The sequence below is a fragment of the Homo sapiens genome, chromosome 1 (assembly GCF_000001405.40).
Source record: "Homo sapiens chromosome 1, GRCh38.p14 Primary Assembly".
NCBI classification, from domain to species: domain Eukaryota; kingdom Metazoa; phylum Chordata; class Mammalia; order Primates; family Hominidae; genus Homo; species Homo sapiens.
In genome coordinates, this window is record NC_000001.11 from 169,714,560 (window position 1) to 169,734,572 (window position 20,013).

The 20,013-nt window shown below is 39.7% G+C and overlaps 1 protein-coding gene across 1 annotated transcript; it reads right to left on the reverse strand.

Annotated features, from left to right (window-relative positions):
• SELE (selectin E) lies at nucleotides 8,081-19,520 on the reverse strand. The gene is made up of 14 exons (NM_000450.2): nucleotides 19,412-19,520; nucleotides 19,017-19,101; nucleotides 18,056-18,439; nucleotides 17,276-17,383; nucleotides 15,873-16,058; nucleotides 14,929-15,114; nucleotides 14,627-14,815; nucleotides 13,499-13,687; nucleotides 13,180-13,368; nucleotides 12,790-12,966; nucleotides 12,140-12,247; nucleotides 11,348-11,369; nucleotides 11,170-11,242; nucleotides 8,081-9,950 (listed from the first exon to the last, which is right to left on the reverse strand). Exons 2-13 carry the CDS (start codon nucleotides 19,051-19,053, stop codon nucleotides 11,185-11,187), a joined length of 1,833 nt encoding a protein of 610 aa, NP_000441.2. The 5' UTR covers nucleotides 19,054-19,101; nucleotides 19,412-19,520; the 3' UTR covers nucleotides 8,081-9,950; nucleotides 11,170-11,184.

The following is a 20,013-nucleotide window of genomic DNA, read 5'->3' on the forward strand; positions in this document are numbered from 1 at the left end:
GGGCAAAGACTTCATGACTAAAACACCAAAAGCAACAGCAACAAAAGCCAAAATTGACAAATGGGATCTAATTAAACTAAAGAGCTTCTGCACAGTAGAAAAAAAAAAACTATCATCAAAGTGAACAGGAAACCTACAGAATGGGAGAAAATTTTTGCAATCTATTCACCTGACAAAGGGCTAATATCCAAAATCTACAAGAAACTTAAACAAATTTACAAGAAAAAACAAACAACACCATCAAAAAGTGAGTGAAGGATATGAACAGATGCTTCTCAAAAGAAGAAGTTTATGCAGTCAACAAACATATGAAAAAAAGCTCATCATCACTGGTCATTAGAGAAATGCAAATCAAAACCACAATGAGATGCCATCTCATGCCAGTTAGAATGGCGATTATTAAAAAGTCAGGAAACAACAGATGCTGGAGAGGATGTGGAGAAATAAGAATGCTTTTTACAGTGTTGGTGGAAGTGTAAATTAGTTCAATCATTGTGGAAGACAATGTGGCGATTTCTCAAGGATCTATAACTAGAAAAACCATTTGACCCAGCAATCCCATTACTGGGTATATACCCAAAGGATTATAAATCATTCTACGATAAAGACACATGCACACTTATGTTTATTGAGGCACTATTCACAACAGCAAAGAGTTGGAACCAACCCAAATGCCCACCAATGATAAACTGGATAAAGATGATGTGGCACATATACATCATGGAATACTATACAGCCATAAAAAAGGATGAGTTCATGTCCTTTGCAGGGACATGGATGAAGCTGGAAACCGTCATTCTCAGCAAACTAACACTGGAACAGAAAACCAAACATTACCCATTCTCACTCATAAGTGGGAGTTGAACAATGAGAACACATGGACACAGGGAGGGGAACATCACACACTGGGGCATGTCAGGGGATGTGGGGCTAGGGGAGGAACAGCATTAGGAGAAATACCTAATGTAGATGACAGGTTGATGAATGCAGCAAACCACCATGGCACATGTATACCTATGTAACAAACCTGCACGTTCTGCTCATGTATCCCAGAAATTAAAGTATAATTTAAAAAAAGTTTAAAAAAAGAAAGTTGCCTTAGTCACATAACTAGTAAGAGACATGGTTGGGAATTTGAACAGAGGCCAATCAGTTCCAAATCCATGCTCTTGATCATTAAGCTGAACTTATGGCAGGAACTTGGAAGACATGGTAAAATGGGGAAAAACGTGGAGCCAGGGAGACTTGTGAAAGTGCCAGTGCTCCCACTATACCCTGAAAGAAGTATCTAGACTTACTTTTTTCTAAGTCCTCTCCTCTAATTCTCTCAATCTCTCTCTCTCTTTCTCTAAGAGATGGGAATGCTGCTCTGTCACTCAGGCTAGAGTGCAGTGGTGCGATCATAGCTCATTGCACTCAAGGAATCCTAGGGTCTAGTGCCCCTTCTCCCTCAGCCTCCCATGTAGCTAAGACTACAGGCACATGCCCCAACCCTCGACTAATTTTTTTATTTTTTATTTTTGTAGAGACAGGATCTCACTATGTTGCTCAGGCTGTAATTCTGTCTTGAAGCTTGTCCAATCAGGCTTTCAGCCACACCAATTCCCTGAGACTGCTCTCACCAAGGTCCTACACTTCACTAACACAAACAGCCTATTCTCCATCCTCATCTTACTTCACCAGGGAGCTCCTGGTTTTCCTCCTACTTCACTGGCTATTTCTTCTGTATCATGTGTTGATTCTCCCTCATCTCCCCAACCTCCAAACCCTTGGAGTACTCCAGAGATCACCGCTTTGCTCTTCTGTGTCTAACCTCACTAACTTGGTGGTCCAATTCACACTCTTGACTTTGAATACCATTTAAATGCGAACGAATTCTAAATTCTGTACAACCAGAACCATTCTCCTGTAGCCAAATGCCTACTCAACATCTCCATCCCCAAACAAATTTAGTTGTTCAATAAGCCTCTCATATTTTACATATCCCAAACTGAACTTCTGAATTTCTCCTCCAATCTGTAGGGCTCTTCCCACAGCCTTTCCATCTCAGTGGATTATAACTCCATCCTTCCAGTTACTCAGACCAAAACTTTTGGAGTTAACTGAGACACCTCTCTTTTTTTTCACAAGTCATATCCAATGTGTCAACAAATTTTGGTAGTGGAAATATTGCGGGATTTTTTAAGAAATCAGAGAGACCGATGGGGTTCAGGAGGATATTTATTATTTAGGTGCACTGGCCAAGTCAGATTAACATCCAAAGGACTGAGCCCTGAACAAAGAGTTAAGTTACCTTTTAAGCATTTTGTGGGGTGGGAGAGAGGGGTATCTGTGCAGGGGGAAGCATACTACAGAAGTGAGAAATAAAGACAGTTATTCAATTAATTGAGACATGCATTACATCATTTCTTACTTTTCAAGAAGAAACATGTTTTGCGACTTGAGTTTATCTGTCTAGTGACCTTGCAGCTGCACAGCTAGAGAAACAGGGTCTTCACAATGCCTGGGAAAGGAGGAGAGGTAAGTCTCACTAGCCACAGAAAAACAGGCAGTTAATTTTTAAAGGGCTCCAGCTCTTTCTCTTTCTCAGGGGGAGTTGGGTTTTGTTACATACAACTGAGTTTCCGCTTACACATTATTTAATTTCTTTTAATTCCTGTTCCAAAAGAAGCCAGATACAAAAGGTTACATGTTGTCTGATTCCATTTATATGAAACATATAGAAGAGGTAAATCCATAGAGACAGAAAGTAGATTAGAGGTTCCCAGGGGCTGAGGAAGAAATGGGGACTAACTGCTTATAGGGTACAGAGTTTTCTTCTGATAAAAATATTTTGGAACTAGATAGACATTTTGTTAGGCCATTCTTGCATTGTTATAAAGAATTACCTGAGACTTGGTAATTTATAAAGAAAAGATGTTTAATTGGCTTACACTTCTGCAAGCTTTACAGGAAGCATGGTGCCGATATCTGCTCAGCTTCTGGTAAGGCCTCAGGAAGCTTACAATCATGGCAGAAGGTGAAAGGGGAGCAGGCATATCACATAGCAAAAGCAGGAGCAAGAGAGGGATGTGGGGAGGTGACAGTCACTTTTAAACAGCCAGATCTTGTGAGAACTCATTCACTATCATGAAGACAGTACCAAGAGGATGGTACTAAATCATTCATGAGAAACCCCACCCTCATGATCAAATCACCTCCCACCAGGCCCCACCTCCAACACTGGGGATTACAATTTGACATGAGATTTGAGTGAGAACACGGATCCAAACCATATCAGAGATGGTGGTTATACAATGCGATAAACGTCACTGGATTGTACACTTTAAGATGGTTGTTTTATGTTGTGTGAACTTCACCTCAATAAAAAAAAATATTTAATGTACATTCAGCCAAAAGAAGATTTGGAATAGGAAAGGTCATGGAGATATATTAACAGCCATTTGATGGGTGGTAAGGAAAAGAGTGGTTATTAGACTGTTTTGTGGCCCTCAAAAGGTAGAACTAGATCGAGTTGGTGAGCATTATAAAACCATCACAAAACCCTGGAGAGAGGACCCAGTGCTGAAGAACCGTTTGCCTGCCATGAGACATGAGGGAAGTACCAGTGAATGCCATTGAAAGCAGCATCCCTGGGTCCAAGGGATGGTCAAAGGACCACTACCCAACCCTTCCCTAGCCTACGCCTCCATTACAGATGACCGCAAGATTTATTTGCTCATTGCTGCCAACCAAGGCTGCACTCACTGCAGTTGCTATCAGTTTATCATGGGTAAAAGGAATGTGCAGTAGAGAACTAACTAACTGCCCACCTACCTCCACAATCCTATCAGGACAAATCACCATGGCTCACATTTCCTTACATTTGGCATGTAAGCCCCTCTTACTGTCTGTCATCTATCTCCTACACAGTTCACCTAAACTGTTCTCTCCTGACCCAACCTTGATTTTCATCCCAAATGCTTCCTTGCCATCTCTGGGATTCCTGTCTTCACCATCACCAAACTCCCCTCAATCTTCCAGTTTCCTGTTCAAACTTTTCTCCTACCTCCTTGCTTTGTCATTAGCCCGACTGCCTCCCTAGGACATCACTTCCCCTGCAGATCTCTCAAGATGACAATATTTATTCTCCACACAGCACATACTTCAGGGTTGGAAGGCAGGGGCAATCTTCTCCTTTATAATGAGTGCCTCTTATATATGTTTATTCATCTGCCCTCTTGTAAAACACACACACACACACACACAAAGAAGAAATAAAATAACTCTGCTTCTTTGAAGCTTGTGACACTGAGATAAACCATCTCACTGTCCTCATTGTAGTGACCTCTCAACTCCTCATGCAAGATTGGCTTTGGCACCTAGTTCCTGATCTTCCTTTCCCTGTAAGCACTTCTCATAGTCTTACGGGACTTCACCATCCATGGCACAACCAATACCACAGCCCAGATCCTCAGCTCTCCAATGACATTTTCCTCCACTAGACTTGAGCTACCTCCTTCCCTAGGCACAGCCTCAACCTCGACAACACCTAAGACTGTACCGTCTCTAAAGTCACATGTTCAAACACTTCACTCTTTAACCACTGTCTCCTATTCTTGCAAGTGTATTGCTCAAGTATCTCATTGCAATGCTTTTTACTTCTACCTCATTGAACCTCCAGGCCATTAAACATTTCCTTATTTCTAACCATCAGGTTTCTCCTTACTTGTTTGTTTGTTTATTTGTTTCTTTTTTTTTTTTTTTTTTGAGACAGGGTCTCACTCTGTTGCCCAGGCTGGAGTGCAGTGGTATGATCTCGGCTCACTGCAGCCTCCATCTCCCTGGTTCAAGTGATTCTCATGTCTCAGCCTCCCGAGTAGCTGGGACTACAGGTGCATGCCACTACGCCTGGCTAAGATTTTGTATTTTTATTAGAGAAGGGGTTTTGCCATGTTGGCCAAGCTGGTCTCGAACTCCTAACCTCAGGTGATCCACCTGCCTCAGCCTCCCAAAGTGCTGAGATTATAGGCATGAGCCACTATGCCCCACCTGGTTTCTCCTTATTTATTTCAAGTCTATGCTGCACTATTAAAACTGCCTTGACAAAAATTATAATAGTGAGAAAATTATGACAGTGAAAGAGATCTGAAATAATCAACCCCCATCTTGCCTTTACCTTCCAGACTGCCCTTAATAATTCCTGAGCTTGGGCCAAGCTATCTTTGGCAGAAATTTAGTTTATAGTTTAAATGATAATAGCCCTTCTCCAAAACTAAACTGCCTTTGTAAAACTAATAAAAGACCACCAATGAAAGGTTAGGAGGATGAGAGGAGCCTGAATTCTGCTAAGGTGTAGATGTAAACAATTACCAACTGTTATTCCGGAGGTCACAAGATTTGCAACATCGCCAATTACTCCTGCAGATAACAGCACTATCATAGAATCTGATTGGCCTTTTGAGATGTCTTTTCAGATTCTTACATTTCAACTGGTGGCTCTACCTGGACCCATCAACAAGTCCTGTGGCTCCACCCAGAAGCAGACTTAACATGCACAAGGACCATTTTCCACACCGCTATGATTGCATCCCAACCAATCAGCAGCAACCATTCCTCTGCCTGCCAAATTATCCTTGAAAAATCTTAGCCTTAGAATTTTGGGGGAGGCTGATTTCAGTAATAACAAAACCCCGGTCTCCCATTTGGCTGGCTCTGCATGAATTAAATTCTTTCTCTATTGCAGTTCCCATCTTGATAAATCACCTTTATCTGGGCAGCAAACAAAAGGAACCCATTGGACAGTTACACTGTTGGCAGATATATCTTGCTTCCAAAATTGGATTTTTGTTTAATGAATTTATTCTGTTTTCTTGATATTTACAACTGTGAATGTTGTGTCTGAATTCTCTTTATTTCTTGTTGAAAAGAACTATATTGCTACAGCCAGTACATACAGATGGATAGCTAATTACTCAACACGGGGGGATGTGACCATCACCGCACTGTGCAAATGAATGTTACCCATTGTCCACTTTTCCCAAACTACATAGTGTTATATGGTATATGACCCAATCAACGGTGGCAAAGCTCCAGAAATACCACATAGACATCAGGGACACTTTAAACTAATCAGCCTATAGTCCTTTTTCAGTAATTTCCAAACCTGGTTGTGCATCCAAATCACTTGGTAACATTAAAAAAACAAAAAAATATACACGCAACATTCGCTCCCAATCCTACTGAATCAGAATATTTTGGGTTGGTTCAGGAACATTCAGGAGTTTTTCAGGGTCCAAGGTTTATATAATTTGAGGTCTCTCTTTGAGAAAAGGAACGTAAAAGCGTCTTGCTTTTATAGATCTTACAAAGATGTATTACCATGTAAACACATTCCTAGGACCCAGGCCCTTGTAATTTAAAGGTTTATCTAAGTAATGGGCCCTGAAGCTTAATTTTCATTATCTTCAGGGCAAATTACCTGTGGGTTAGGGTTTAGGAATATATCTCTCTGTGTATGTGTGTGCACATTAGCATGTACGCTTGTGTGGATTTTTTTTTTTTTTTTTTTTTTTTCTGAGACAGAGTCTCGCTCTGTCGCCAGGCTGGAGTGCAGTGGCGTGATCTCTGCTCACTGCAAACTCCGCCTCCCAGGCTCAAGCGATTCTTCTGCCTCAGCCTCTTGAGTAGCTGGGACTATAGGCACGCACCACTATGCCCAGCTAATTTTTGTATTTTTAGTAGAGTTGGGGTTTCGCCATGTTGGCCAGGATGGTCTTGATCTCTTGACCTCGTGATCCACCCGCCTCCACCTCCCAAAGTGCTGGGATTACAGGCGTGAGTCACCATGCCCAGCACTTGTGTGGATGTTTTAAGCTCCCAGGTGAGTGAATACAAAACTAGATCTTTCCCTTCTGTAGCATCTGTACTGTTTACTCTATGCATCTCAATATTTTTTCTTTTAGTATCTTTCCTTTTTCTCTCTTATTACTTCCTCTTGTGCTATTTTTACACCTCCTTTTTTAAAAAATTTTTTCCCTTTTATTTCTATTGACCTTTAGCCCTCACAATGATTCCTACAAGCCCCATTTCTGTAAATGGGGATTGAAATAATTGCTGGACTTTTGAGAGATAGATATATTAAATTGCAAACTGGCAGTAGTGGGGGCAGTTGATACATAACTAGGTTTTAAAGTCTAGCCTTCTGAGACCACTCATTCCATTTGTGAAAAGTGATTCTACTTCTTATTATGAGCCAAAATATGCATTCATTCACCCATGCATTGATTTATTCATTCAATAAATATTTGTTGGATGTCCACTCTGTATCAGGAATGTGCTAGGTTCTGGGAATACAGCAATGAACAAGGTAATTTTTCCCTACCCCTAAGGAACTTAGAGTTTAGTGGGGAAGACAGACATTAAACAAACAATTGTGCAAGTAATAATCTATAATTATTTATTACAATTAAAGGAAGGAAGAGACATATGGATTATGAGGGCATTAAAGAGGAGACCTAGTGTAAGTAGCCAGTTCTCGTGAAGGGACATGTATTAGTTGGAGTTCTCCAGAGAAACAGAACCAATGGTGTGTGTGTGTGTGTGTGCGTGTGTGCGTGTGTGTGTTGGGGTGTGGGGGTGTGGTATTTTTTATAGAAATTGTCTCACACAATTATGGAAGCTGAGAAGTCCCATGGCCTGCTGTCTACGAGCTGAGAACCAGGAAAGCCAGTGGAATACTTCAAAGTCCAAAGGCCCTGGAACCAAGAGTGCCAGTGTTGGAAGGCAGGAGAAGATGGGTGTCCCAGCTTAAAAAGACAGTGAATTCACTCTTTTTGCTCTACATAGGGCCTCAATGGGTTGGATCATGGCCACCCACATTGGTGAAGGCAATCCTCTTAGTCTACCAATTAAATACTAATCTCTTTGGAAATACTCTCACAGACACACTGAGAAATAATGTTTTATCAGGGTGATAGAAATCTTCTGGAGTTAAACAATGGTGATAGCTGTACAATCACATACATTTTTAAAGGGTGCGTTTTATGGAAAGTGAGTTTTATCTAAATAAAATTTCTAAGAAAGAGACTTAACACAGAGATAAACATAAGCACATTTATTGTCAACCTTTATAGTGTTATGTCAAATAGGTCTGACATAAGCTTAAATAAATATATACTTTAAAAATTATAAAATATTTTAAGTTATAATTTAAAATTCTCAATAAAACTCAAACACAAACCACACTGGTATTTCACACAGCTAATTTCTAATGCAGTTTACATAAATATTTACAACACTTAAACAATTTCAAAGAAAATAACACTGTATTCCATACATAGCCTGATCACAGTAGTTGTTCTCTCTTATTTCCCAGAGTTTTTCTGCCCCTTTAAAAGAACCTCTGCTGTTCTGATCCTTATCACATCTCTGTTTTGACTGTTGGCTTTGTTGTTGCCAGTGTTCAGCCAGAACTTCTCTGAAACTTTTTTTTCAACACATGCTAAGTTAATGGAAGTGTAGGAGAGTTTTGATTCTCACACTCCTCAAGGCTAGAGCAGCTTTGGCAATTACTGACTGAGAATTTTTCATTGCCAGTGATCAACTGAAAACTGGAGATTCCTTTGGAATTGTTAAATCTGCTTATAAATAAACATAAATGCTTGCTCACACAGGCATTCCTCTCTTCCAGAGCACCCTAACATACAGAAGAAAACAAATAGGGAATAACTATTAGACATCTTCATTCGTTAAAAATCTACCAGATGACTCTTTTACATGGTGAGTTTCTATTGTGAATTTAAAATCTTCCATAATATACAAGAATTATGTTTACATATCATATCTGACAAACATCTTTGTAGGAATGCAAAGCACATCCATCTTTCTGTATTCTTTTCCAACAAAGACATTCATAAAATTATACCTTTGTGTGTTTGCATTTATGCTTTTATTAGTTCAAAACGTTTGGCCTCATGGAAGTTTTTCATCGTGGAAACCACATATTTCTGAAAAAATATCTGACAATATACAAACCTTCCATTCAGTTTTTACTCTCCAATTCTACCATGTTTTCAAAAAACAACTGTAGTAAAAACACTCAGAACTTTATTCTGGTTAACATCATGCCTTGCTAGGGGACAATAGTTTCCCTTTTTGAAATAAATTTAAAACAGATGTAACATAATTTGTTAATAAACAATGAGGGGGTAATCTAGAATAAGTAACTTTTACCATATCATAGTTGACAGCATTTACAAGTTTTTTAAGTCCCTACCACACTTGTATTGAATGAAGAAGTATGGAAGATTATAATATATTCAATGCAAGTAAAAATATCACAATCCTTAAGAACTCTTTAAGAAGCACTGAATCCCATAGGGATGAAAGTGATTAAATTGTGCATAGTAACCCTCGCACAGAGCATTCAGTAGGATTTGCACCATTAACAACCCTCCATGCATTTGCCTGTGGGCATTCAACATCTGTCATTTTTTTAAGTTATAATATTTTTAGTCATTTTTTTCCTCTAAACTCTGGATAATTATTATTCATTCTTATGACAGCAACTGTGTAATCAGCTGTCGAAACACTGTGAAGGGCAAAAGAAAGAAAGCCACAAAATATTGTGTTTCTGTGCCAAGATTTTACAGCGAGCAAGGGAGAGTTAGAAAAGGAATTCTGAGATTTCAGAGTCTTGGTCTCTTCACCTTTGCTTGGAAGAAAATATCCTTTCCCTTCATTAGCCAACACTTTCTTGATCCTGAGAGTAGGAAAGGGAACACTGAGTCTTTTCAGTTGAAGGCCGTCCTTGCCTGCTGGACTTTGATCTATTGAAGTGGTGATGGGTGTTGCGGTTTCAGCCATAAAGGCATCTGGCATAGTAGGCAAGAAGGGCCAGAGACCCGAGGAGAGTTATCTGTCTCTGTTAACTTCAGTGTATCCCTCTAGTTCCCCAGATGCACCTGTTTCTGTAAATATAAACATGCATGTCATCAGAACACTTAATATTCTGCATACTGATCATGACAACAAAATGTACCTTCTAACACAGACACTCTCACTAGGATAGACCATGTAGGAACATCGAATTCTATTCAGTTAGGACAGTGATGATGTCTACATATTATACCTCTGTCAAAACCTACAGAATATACAACACAGCACAGAGTGAATTCTAATGTAGCCTGTGGACATTAATGAATAATAATGTATCAATATTGGCCCATCAGTTGTAACACTAATATAAGATGTTAATAACAGGGGGAATTGAAGGGGTGGTGGGGAGATATGTTGGAACTCTTTGTGCTTTCTGCTCAATTTTTCTGTAAACTTAAAACCGCACACACAAAAAAAGTTATTTTAATTTTTTAAAAAGTATTCAGAGGGACTTGACCTTTCCAAATTCTCTCAAAGCAGGTCGGAGTAGTTAAGAACACAAATTTTAGAACCAGACTGCCAGAGTTTGAATCCTGGCTACACCACTTACTAGCTTTGAGATTTCAGACAATTTACTTAACTTCTCTGTCTCATTTTCTTCATCTGTGTGATAAGAAATAAAGTAACAGGCCAGGCCCAGTGGCTCACGCCTGTAATCCCAGCACTTTGAGAGGCCAAGGCGGGTGGATCAGGAGTTCAAGATCAGCCTGGCCAACATGACGAAAAAATACAAAATCTCTACTAAAAATACAAAAATTAGCTGGGTGTGGTGGCAGGCACCTGTAATCCCAGCTACTCAGGAGGCTGAGGCAGGAGAATTGCTTGAACGCAGGAGGTGGAGGTTGCAGTGAGCCAAGATCATGCCACTGCACTCCAGTCTAGGCAACAGAATGAGACTCCATCTCAAAATTAAAAAAAAAAAAAGTAAAAAGAAAAGATAAGAAATATAGTACCAGCCCCTATCTCAGAGTTCCTAGCTTAGAAAAATTCCCAGAATATAATAAGTGCAATGTAAGGGTCAGCTATCTTCATTATTATTATCTATCATAAATGAAATTACACAATAAAGCTAGATCCGTTTCTTTCCTCTCCTTCTACAAAAAATAAAGCAACTTTCCAGAACAATACCCAGGTGATGATTTCTCCCCTGCTCCCTCCCTAAGATATTGGCAAGTTTGGAGGGTTCAAGGAGAAACAGAGCATGTAGAGAAGATACCTCTCTCATAACCATTTGTGATTTACAAGTCTTACCTGATTCTTTTGAACTTAAAGGATGTAAGAAGGCTTTTGGTAGCTTCCATCTGATTCAAGGCTTTGGCAGCTGCTGTGGAATACATGAGAACACTAGGTAAAGCACTGTCTTCCAACATGAAGAGAGAAAAATATGTGGAATGTTCAATGGCATGCTTTGTATAAGAATGCAACTTACCTGGCAGGAACAAATTTCTTTGCTGCAAAAGAAAAGACAAACAACCATTAATTCAGACTAAATGACTTTTAAGGATATATTAAATCCAGATACAATATGACTTAATTCATCAAGTGTTGCAAACTCGATGCTTCAGGGCCTCTGTAATAATCAGAGCACAAGCATGGCTCTGTGGCATCTAGGGTAAAATGCAAAGTGCACAGCCATCCAAAGGGCATAGCAGCTTCCTAATGCCAGCAAATAGCTACGGGGTCATCTTGCCCAATTCAGCTCCCAATTTTTCATGAGAAGTCCAAAGTCTTAATTTAAATGTGAGATTTCCTATTTTGTAAACGTCAGAACTTAACTCAAAAATGTTTTAAGTACTCTTAAACATGTAAGCCAAACAAACCATGAGTGTAGTCAGATGTGCTTCCATATTCCTTATGAGAGACTCTCAAATTTAAGCCTGTACTCCAAATAAATCTCCTTAGGAAGAATTTTATCCATTTTCCTTAGAGTGCTCATCATGGCAGTTCCATTGCACAATTCCGGGAGGCATCATATAATTCAACATGAATAGCACCCCCTGGAGTTGTACAATATTAGGCACGACTAACATTTTTATTTCCTGAAACACTTCCCACACTGAGTTGTACTACTAACTCTTTTCTTAATACTTCTGCTTAATTATACTGCATTTTATCCAGATTCTAATTATTGTTTAAATCAGTAAGCAAGACCATGACTTATCAATGAGAAAGAAATGTATTTTCAAAAACATTTTTGAAGTACATTCATAAACTTCCTCACCTTTCCGTAAGCATTTCCGAAGCCAGAGGAGAAATGGTGCTAATGTCAGGAGGGAGAGTCCAGCAGCAGAAAGTCCAGCTACCAAGGGAATGTTGGACTCAGTGGGAGCTAAGGAAGTAAGAGACGAAGAAAGGTCATGAGGAAGAATTGATGTTAAAGTCTCTCCGTCCTGTCCCTTTGGCCTTTTTTCTGTACATTCATTACTAGGAGCAGAAGAGCTATCTAGTTTAATACAAGAAGCAGAGATGTGGCATTACAGGCCTTTGAGATCTGCTCCAAGCCACCTTTGAAGCTATTTCCACCATTGGCAGGCAGAACTCTAACTTGCCAAGCTCGTTCACAATACCACACCACACCTTGGTTAATAAACACTGCACTTGCTTGCTCTCTTGCTCTCACTCCCTCTTGTTTTCCATTTCCCCTTTCTCCTCTCCTCTCTCTGTCTCCTTTTTCCAGTTGTCAGAATTCTACCCTTTCCATCAACATGCAACTTCTGTTTTTTCTCTATCCCCATACAACTTAATATTCACAACTTGTCAACCTGGGCGAACTTTCTGGTTTGGATATAATGAATAGTTGATTACTGTAACAAGATAGCTCCCCCTTTTTCTTTTTAATCACCAGACAACCACCATCAATCAATGCATCACCTTCACAGGTAGGTAGCAGGCCAGACCAGTGTCCTGTGGCTCCACATGTCCGAGCTGCAGAGCCATTGAGCGTCCATCCTTCAGGACAGGCGAACTTGCACACAGTGCCAAACACGGGCTCCCCACTGCAGCTCATGTTGATCTTTCCCGGAACTGCCAGGCTTGAACATTTTACCACTGCAAATGTTAGGTACACAGGCAGAGTTTCAGAAAAATCTACTGGAAAACTTCCAAAACTTGCTTAAAAGTCAACAATGAATGTAAAGTGTAAGCGCTACTTAGTTTTCAGCATGTAGGAAATTAGGACCAAACCCCTTTGGGGCAATCTAGGTTCAGAAACTTTATGAAGTATTTGACCTGTACCCTAAAAAAGTCTGCACTCAATTCTACCTTGGCAGGAAGGAACCTCTTCTGTCCATTGTCCCTGAGATGTGCACTCAAGTTGAGTTGATCCATGTAATTCAAATCCCTCCTCACAGCTGAAGGCACAAGAGGACTTGTAGGTGAATTCTCCAATAGGGGAATGAGCACACCTCACCAAACCCTTCGGGGGCTGGTGGACAGCATCGCATCTCACAGCTGGAACACACGAGAGAGCACTTTAGAAGTTTGTTTGCATCTCCAGCAATACGTTTCCCAAGGTAACCAAGTTCCCAAGCTCTTCAATAGTTCTTTTTATCTTAAAATAAAATAAAAACAAAGACTGTACCTTCACATGTGGGCTTCTCGTTGTCCCACTCCCCTGTGGGGCCACATTGGAGCCTTTTGGATCCCTTCAACACAAAACCCTGCTCACAGGAGAACTCACAGCTGGACCCATAACGGAAACTGCCAGAAGCACTAGGAAGACAATTCATGTAGCCTCGCTCGGGGTTGGACAAGGCTGTGCACTGGAAAGCTGAGACATCAAAATGATGGTCAGAAAATATTGCAGTGGAACTAGAGAGTACTTGGCGTTTGTTGAGTGAACCCAGTTCATTCAAGCAACACTTGGAGAACTGAAGATTCTTTATAATTCCCTGGACAAATGGGAAGATGGCTGTGTTTTCTTTGAATTTCAGCCCCCTCACTGATCATGGCACTAATTAAAAGACTAATTAATCAGAACATTAGTTCCTGAGCACTGTTCTTCTAACACACAAAATAAATTATGGTCCAAGGAAAGATTTCACGCAGTCTGAGGACAACATATGGGTCATGGATGTTTATAGATGGTGCCAAAAAGAAAGAAAAGAAAGCACCCCTATAAAATTTGTCTGTTTTGCAGTTTGGTTTTTGTGTTATGTTTTGCTACTGGAAATCATTCTGTGCTGGCTTTGGCTAGGACAAGGCCAGTGCCTGATAGTAAAAACTGCTTGTTTTCAATATCCTTGCTCTCACTTTAAAGTGAATTAAAATTTACTGCTTATATATGCATCAATACTATCTCTGTAGCTGACACCATGCTTGAAACAGTCTCATCACTGCTAATTATGAGCCATTTCAGAAGACAGGTGTGATGAGAGTTTTACATTCAAATCATGTTCTCATTATTCTGCTTTCCGAATTTTCTAATATGATTCCTTTAGATTAAGAATTCTGTCTATTCCATGCTAATGTCTACAAAGTTTTATCAGCACATCACAGTTAAAAAAAAACAGCAAAGAATTCATTCTTAACACATATGATCCTTTCCCTGGCCAAACATTAGTTCTTTTAAATGAATCTCAAAGATACGAGGGTTGCTCATCAAATCTGATTTCTATAGTTAAAGTGGGTATTGGTTTTTTTTTTCACTGTCCAAGTTTGAAGATGGTTGTTCTTTAAGAAAGTATAAATCGAAGGATCTCAAGCTTACCTTCACAAACTGGGATTTGCTGTGTCCACTGCCCTTGAGTGGTGCATTCAACCTGGGCTGGTCCCTGCAACATGAAGCCTTCCTCACAGGTGAAGTTGCAGGATGATTTGAAGGTGAACTCTCCAGCAGGGGAATGGCTGCACCTCACAGAGCCATTCTGAGGCTGGCGGACGGCCCTGCATGTCACAGCTGTAACAAATATACGCATTGATATTAGCACGGCCTAGAATTAGCTTGCCCATTTCCAGTATGGGTTGAGAGAAAGAATGTTCACAGTAAGTCTCCATGTGGAACAACTCTACCTTTACACGTTGGCTTCTCGTTGTCCCAATTCCCAGATGAGGTACACTGAAGGCTCTGGGCTCCCATTAGTTCAAATCCTTCTTCACAGTCAAATGTACAGGTTGTGTTCCATGGGAAGCTTCCAGGGTTTTGGAAACATTCCACGAACCCATTGGCTGGATTTGTCACAGCATCACACTCAACCACTGAGGATTTTAAAGAGCACCATGAATTTTACAGAAGAATGATCTTTTCACTTCCTATTGAGCTGGGTGCCTAACAGAGTGAGGAAGCTGCCTTCAAAGGGTAGATCCCAAAGTCCTATGTCAATTCTTAGGGACATGCACAGCCAGAATAAAAGCTTTTATTCTTTTTCATGGATATTCTATCTTTTCTGATTTCCACTTTGCCTATGCTGAGTGGTCTCTAATCTATGTTATCATTTACGTGAGGTAAAAATTTAAAAAAAATAGATTCCAGATTAGGAGTTATGACTAGTACTGACATACGTAGGCTATTCATTTATTTTAGCCCATCAGAGCCTGAAGAACTGATTTTTCTTTTTTTGGCCTCTGGTTCAGAAAGATAAAATTAAGAGAGAAAAAGAGATACTAAGACTGCTTGACTATCATGGTCTTAAGTTAGTCCCATGGCTTGGAAAAGTTAAACAGGGAAACAAGATGAGAAATCCATTGAGATTTCTAGAGCTTTATTGTTTTATGGTCTCCCTTACAAATCACCAGAGCCTCAGAAACACCCATTTCAAGCATAGAATAAAAAAACCTCTCTCAACCCAAGCAGGTACTGGGTTGGCAATATACATTGGCTGAGAGAACAAATTGTATTAAAAACAAAAACAAAAAAAAAACTTTCCCTGAAGTTTTGAAAATGTAAGTTGAATCAAAAAACAGAAGCAATGAGGGATGAGTTACAGAACGTTCTGTGCATTCTCAGAGGGATTTACCATTGCAGGCTGGAATAGGAGCACTCCATTCTCCAGAGGACATACACTGCATGGTCTCCATGCTGCTTGGCAGGTAACCCCTATCACAGCTGATAGAGCAGGAAGAATTGTAGCTGAAGTTTCCCAGTGGGTGACTGCAAACCAGGCTTCCATGCTCAGGGGATTCCAGGGCTGTACAGTTCACAACTGAAAAAGAAACCCAAATCAGTTCTGCTCATCTCTCACCTTTAACAGATAAGAACACTGGAAACTAGAACTACAGTTTGGTTTTTTTTTTTTTTAGTTTAAAAATTTATAAAATTTCTAATGGAATTTGTAAAATTGACTGTAATTCTACCCCTTTTCTTTTATTCAAGAAAATGCTGATCCATAACAACAACAACAAAAAAGCAGTGATGACAACCATAAAAAAGAAATATTGAGTGATATGGGGAGAGTAGTGTAATTGTGTTTACCTCAAAACTGTTCAAATTATATGAACAAACACAGCAAACTTAGGTACCACAACAAATTTCTTGTTACTTTTCTCACAACTGCTAAAAATACTACAGTAAGCTTCCAACCAGGATGAGAACCATTCACAAAGCTATATTTCAAATTTAAGTACTAGAATACATTACAAATTTTAAAACCCTAATGCTGCACTGTCTACTATAGTAGCCACTATCTGTGTGGCTACTCAAATTTAAACTTGAATTCGTTGAAATCAAATAACATTTAAAATTCAGTTCCTCAGTGTCACCAGCCACATTTCAAGTACTCAATAACCACATGTGGCTCATAGGTACACACTGGAAAACACAGCTATGGAACATTTCCATTATCACAAAAGCTCTACTGCACAACGCTGTGCTAAGGAATCTTGGAGAGAAGCTCATCTAACTCTCTTAATGTACAAATTTAGGAACTGAGACCTCATTTCATTCAAGTGACTTGCTCCATGCTACACGGCTAGTCATTACAGAGCCAGAGGCCAGAGCATGAACCAAGATACCCTGGACTCTGTAACTCACTCATTTCTACTGCAACGTCTTGTTACCACCTAGATGAGGTGAGTACATGTTCCTCGCAGGGACACAGAATTACAGTTTATTGAATGTGTCCTGTGTGCCAGGCACCATGTAACCATGAGCCTATGAAGTTCACACTATTATTATCCTCATTTTACAATGAGAAAACTGACATAGAGAGTTAAACTATCTTGTCAAGGTGCCAAAATAAATAACTGGTGAATCTAGGACTCAAACCCAGCAGGGTCTGACTTCATAGTCTCAGCTCACGATCACCATATGACACCATCTGCACCAGGGAAGGGAAGGCATGCAGACCTGACTCTAATGCCAGCTAGGACGTGAGATGGTGCTACCATCTCAAGTGAAGAAAGAGGCAAGAACCAGACTTACTTTGCTCACACTTGAGTCCACTGAAGCCAGGGTCACACTTGCAAGTGTAATTATTGATGGTCTCTACACATTCACCGTGGCCACTGCAGGATGTATTGGTACAGGCAGCTACGGAAAATACAAAGCATGATGAGGAGGACTATTACTGTGCTTATACTGAGTGCCTTTGATTTTAGAATCAACAGTGTGCAACAGAGACATCAGCAGTCCTACAGAGTGCCATAGACTTTAACTGAAGTGTTTTACAAAGTTCCAAATCTGAGTTTCAGGCCCACCTATCCTAAACCTTGATGCTAATGTATAGCTGTGGCTGGCACCTACCGTAGAAAATTTACTTCTTCACAAACTCTGAAGACAGTTCCCCTACCACAAATAAACAAGTAATTAAAATATGTATTGTGTGTGTGCATTTTTATATGTAAAGAACTACATATTTGCCTACAGTATTTATATATATTTTATATATATACATACACACATATATGTGTGTATATGTGTGTATGTATATATATAAAATGTATATAAATGCTGTAGGCTATATATATATACACACACACATATATGTGTGTGTGTATATATGTGTGTGTGTGTATATATATACATATCCACATATTCTTGCCCACATTCACACAAAACAGCAAAAGAGAGAAACTTTAGCAGTTAAACAGAATCTTTTGGAACATAAAATGACCACAATAGAGAGCAGTTTTTGCATGCTGTAAATTTGCCAAGATGCCCACACACTGAAACTACCTCCCACTGCTGCCGCAAACTCCCTACCTGTGTAGCATAGGGCAAGCTTCTTCTTGCTGCACCTCTCATCATTCCACATGCCCACATCTTTTTCTCTCTTGATGTAGATCTCCACGCAGTCCTCATCTTTTTGCCTATTGTTGGGTTCACCTGGAGCCCAGTTCTTGGCTTCTTCTGTCAGAGGTTTCTGGGTTCCTACCCAGACCCACACATTGTTGACTTTTCTGATTCCAATCCAGTAATAACTTGGTGAATAGCTCAATATGGAGTTTAGGTACTCAATCTCTTCTTTGTTTTGAATTGCAACCAGGTGTGTGTACCTTTGCTGACAATAAGCACTGGCCTCATCATAAGTCATAGCTTCCGTGGAGGTGTTGTAAGACCAGGCTCCACTCTCTTTAATGAGAAGCACTAGTGGGAGAAAAAGAAAAGAAATGGTAGAGTTTGGTACTGTTGTGGTTTAACTCTGACAACTGTGCTTTTTATTGTCTTATTTTTGGCAATGTTTGTGACATGGCCCAGACTTTTCTCATCTTTTCAAAAGTAAGAAGTACGTATGAAGAAACAGCGACTTATTGTTTATCTCTTTTGTGACTGCCACCCACTAGGTACCTTATCCACACTCACTCACAACATTATAGTATACCCATTTTGTAGTAGAATAATAATCAGAATAACTAAGCTTTATTGAGCACTTAGTATGCACCAAGAAGCACTGTATGAGGTACTTTCCATGAACCATGCTATTGAATCCTCACAATGCATCTGGGAAATAGGTCATTATGATCCACACTTTACACTTAAGGAAAGGGAGACACCAAGAGGTAAAGTAAATGACCCCAAGCCCAGGGAAGAACACATTGCAGGTAGAGGTCAAGGATGCTGCCAGATATCCTGTGCAGGACAGCCCCAGACAAGCAAGGATATTTCAGTCTGAAATATCTATAGTGCGAGAATGAGAAATCTTGGTCTAATGGCACTGACTTACCCAAAGTGAGAGCTGAGAGAAACTGTGAAGCAATCATGACTTCAAGAGTTCTTTTCACCCAAAGGTTTAGGCTTGAAATACTTTCCTGGGGAGATAAAACACAAAATGAATTAAAGAAGGAAATCGTGGGTAGCTAGTTACATTATTCTACCATGATGTTTAAGGCAGCATCCTAAGATTTTGGGCAAAGGACACTAGTGCAATAATCTTTATTTCAGAGTTTAATCAAATAAATAAACAAATTTTAAGACTTTCATTATTTAGGTCAAAGAGAAAAGACAGGTTTTAGCTACAATACAATAAGAGCTTGTACAGATGTGGTTTTTATTAGAAGGCCTTTTGCATATCTGTGTTTCATGGCCCGAGGCTGCCCTTATAAAGCGTTCTGCACTTACCGTTTTGGGAAGCAGTTGTTCAAACACAGGATCTCTCAGGTGGGTATCACTGCTGCCTCTGTCTCAGGTCAGTATAGGAGTTTTGATGTGAAGTCAGCCAAGAACAGCTGAACACTACTTCGGCTGAGGCCCTTTTATAGGAGGGATTGCTTCCTGTGAATAATAGGAGGATATTGTCCACATCCAGTAAAGAGGAAATCCCCAATGGCATCCAAAAACTTTCCCGGGAATATCCACGATGCTTAAAATTACAATGATGTCAGAAACTCTGTCTCTTGAAGCTACTTCACCTTTGTCCATGCCTTTATATCGTATATGCAATTTTATTAATATGACAAAAATGCATGATTTTTAATTATAATAACATAAAGTCTATGTCTTTAAAAAGTTGTAAAACTTTGCTTGTTAGTAGTGTCTCTCATGTAGTTGTGGTAGTAATTAGAATTTCAGAAACAGAAGGAAACCAAGAATAGGTTTGTCATCCATAGTCTACTACCTTCAATTTCTCATTCATAGCTGTGGATAACCAATCACTACTCATTTTTTCTTCCTTTTTCACCTGCCAATTCAACATATTTAACATGCACTGTCTCACAGAGGAA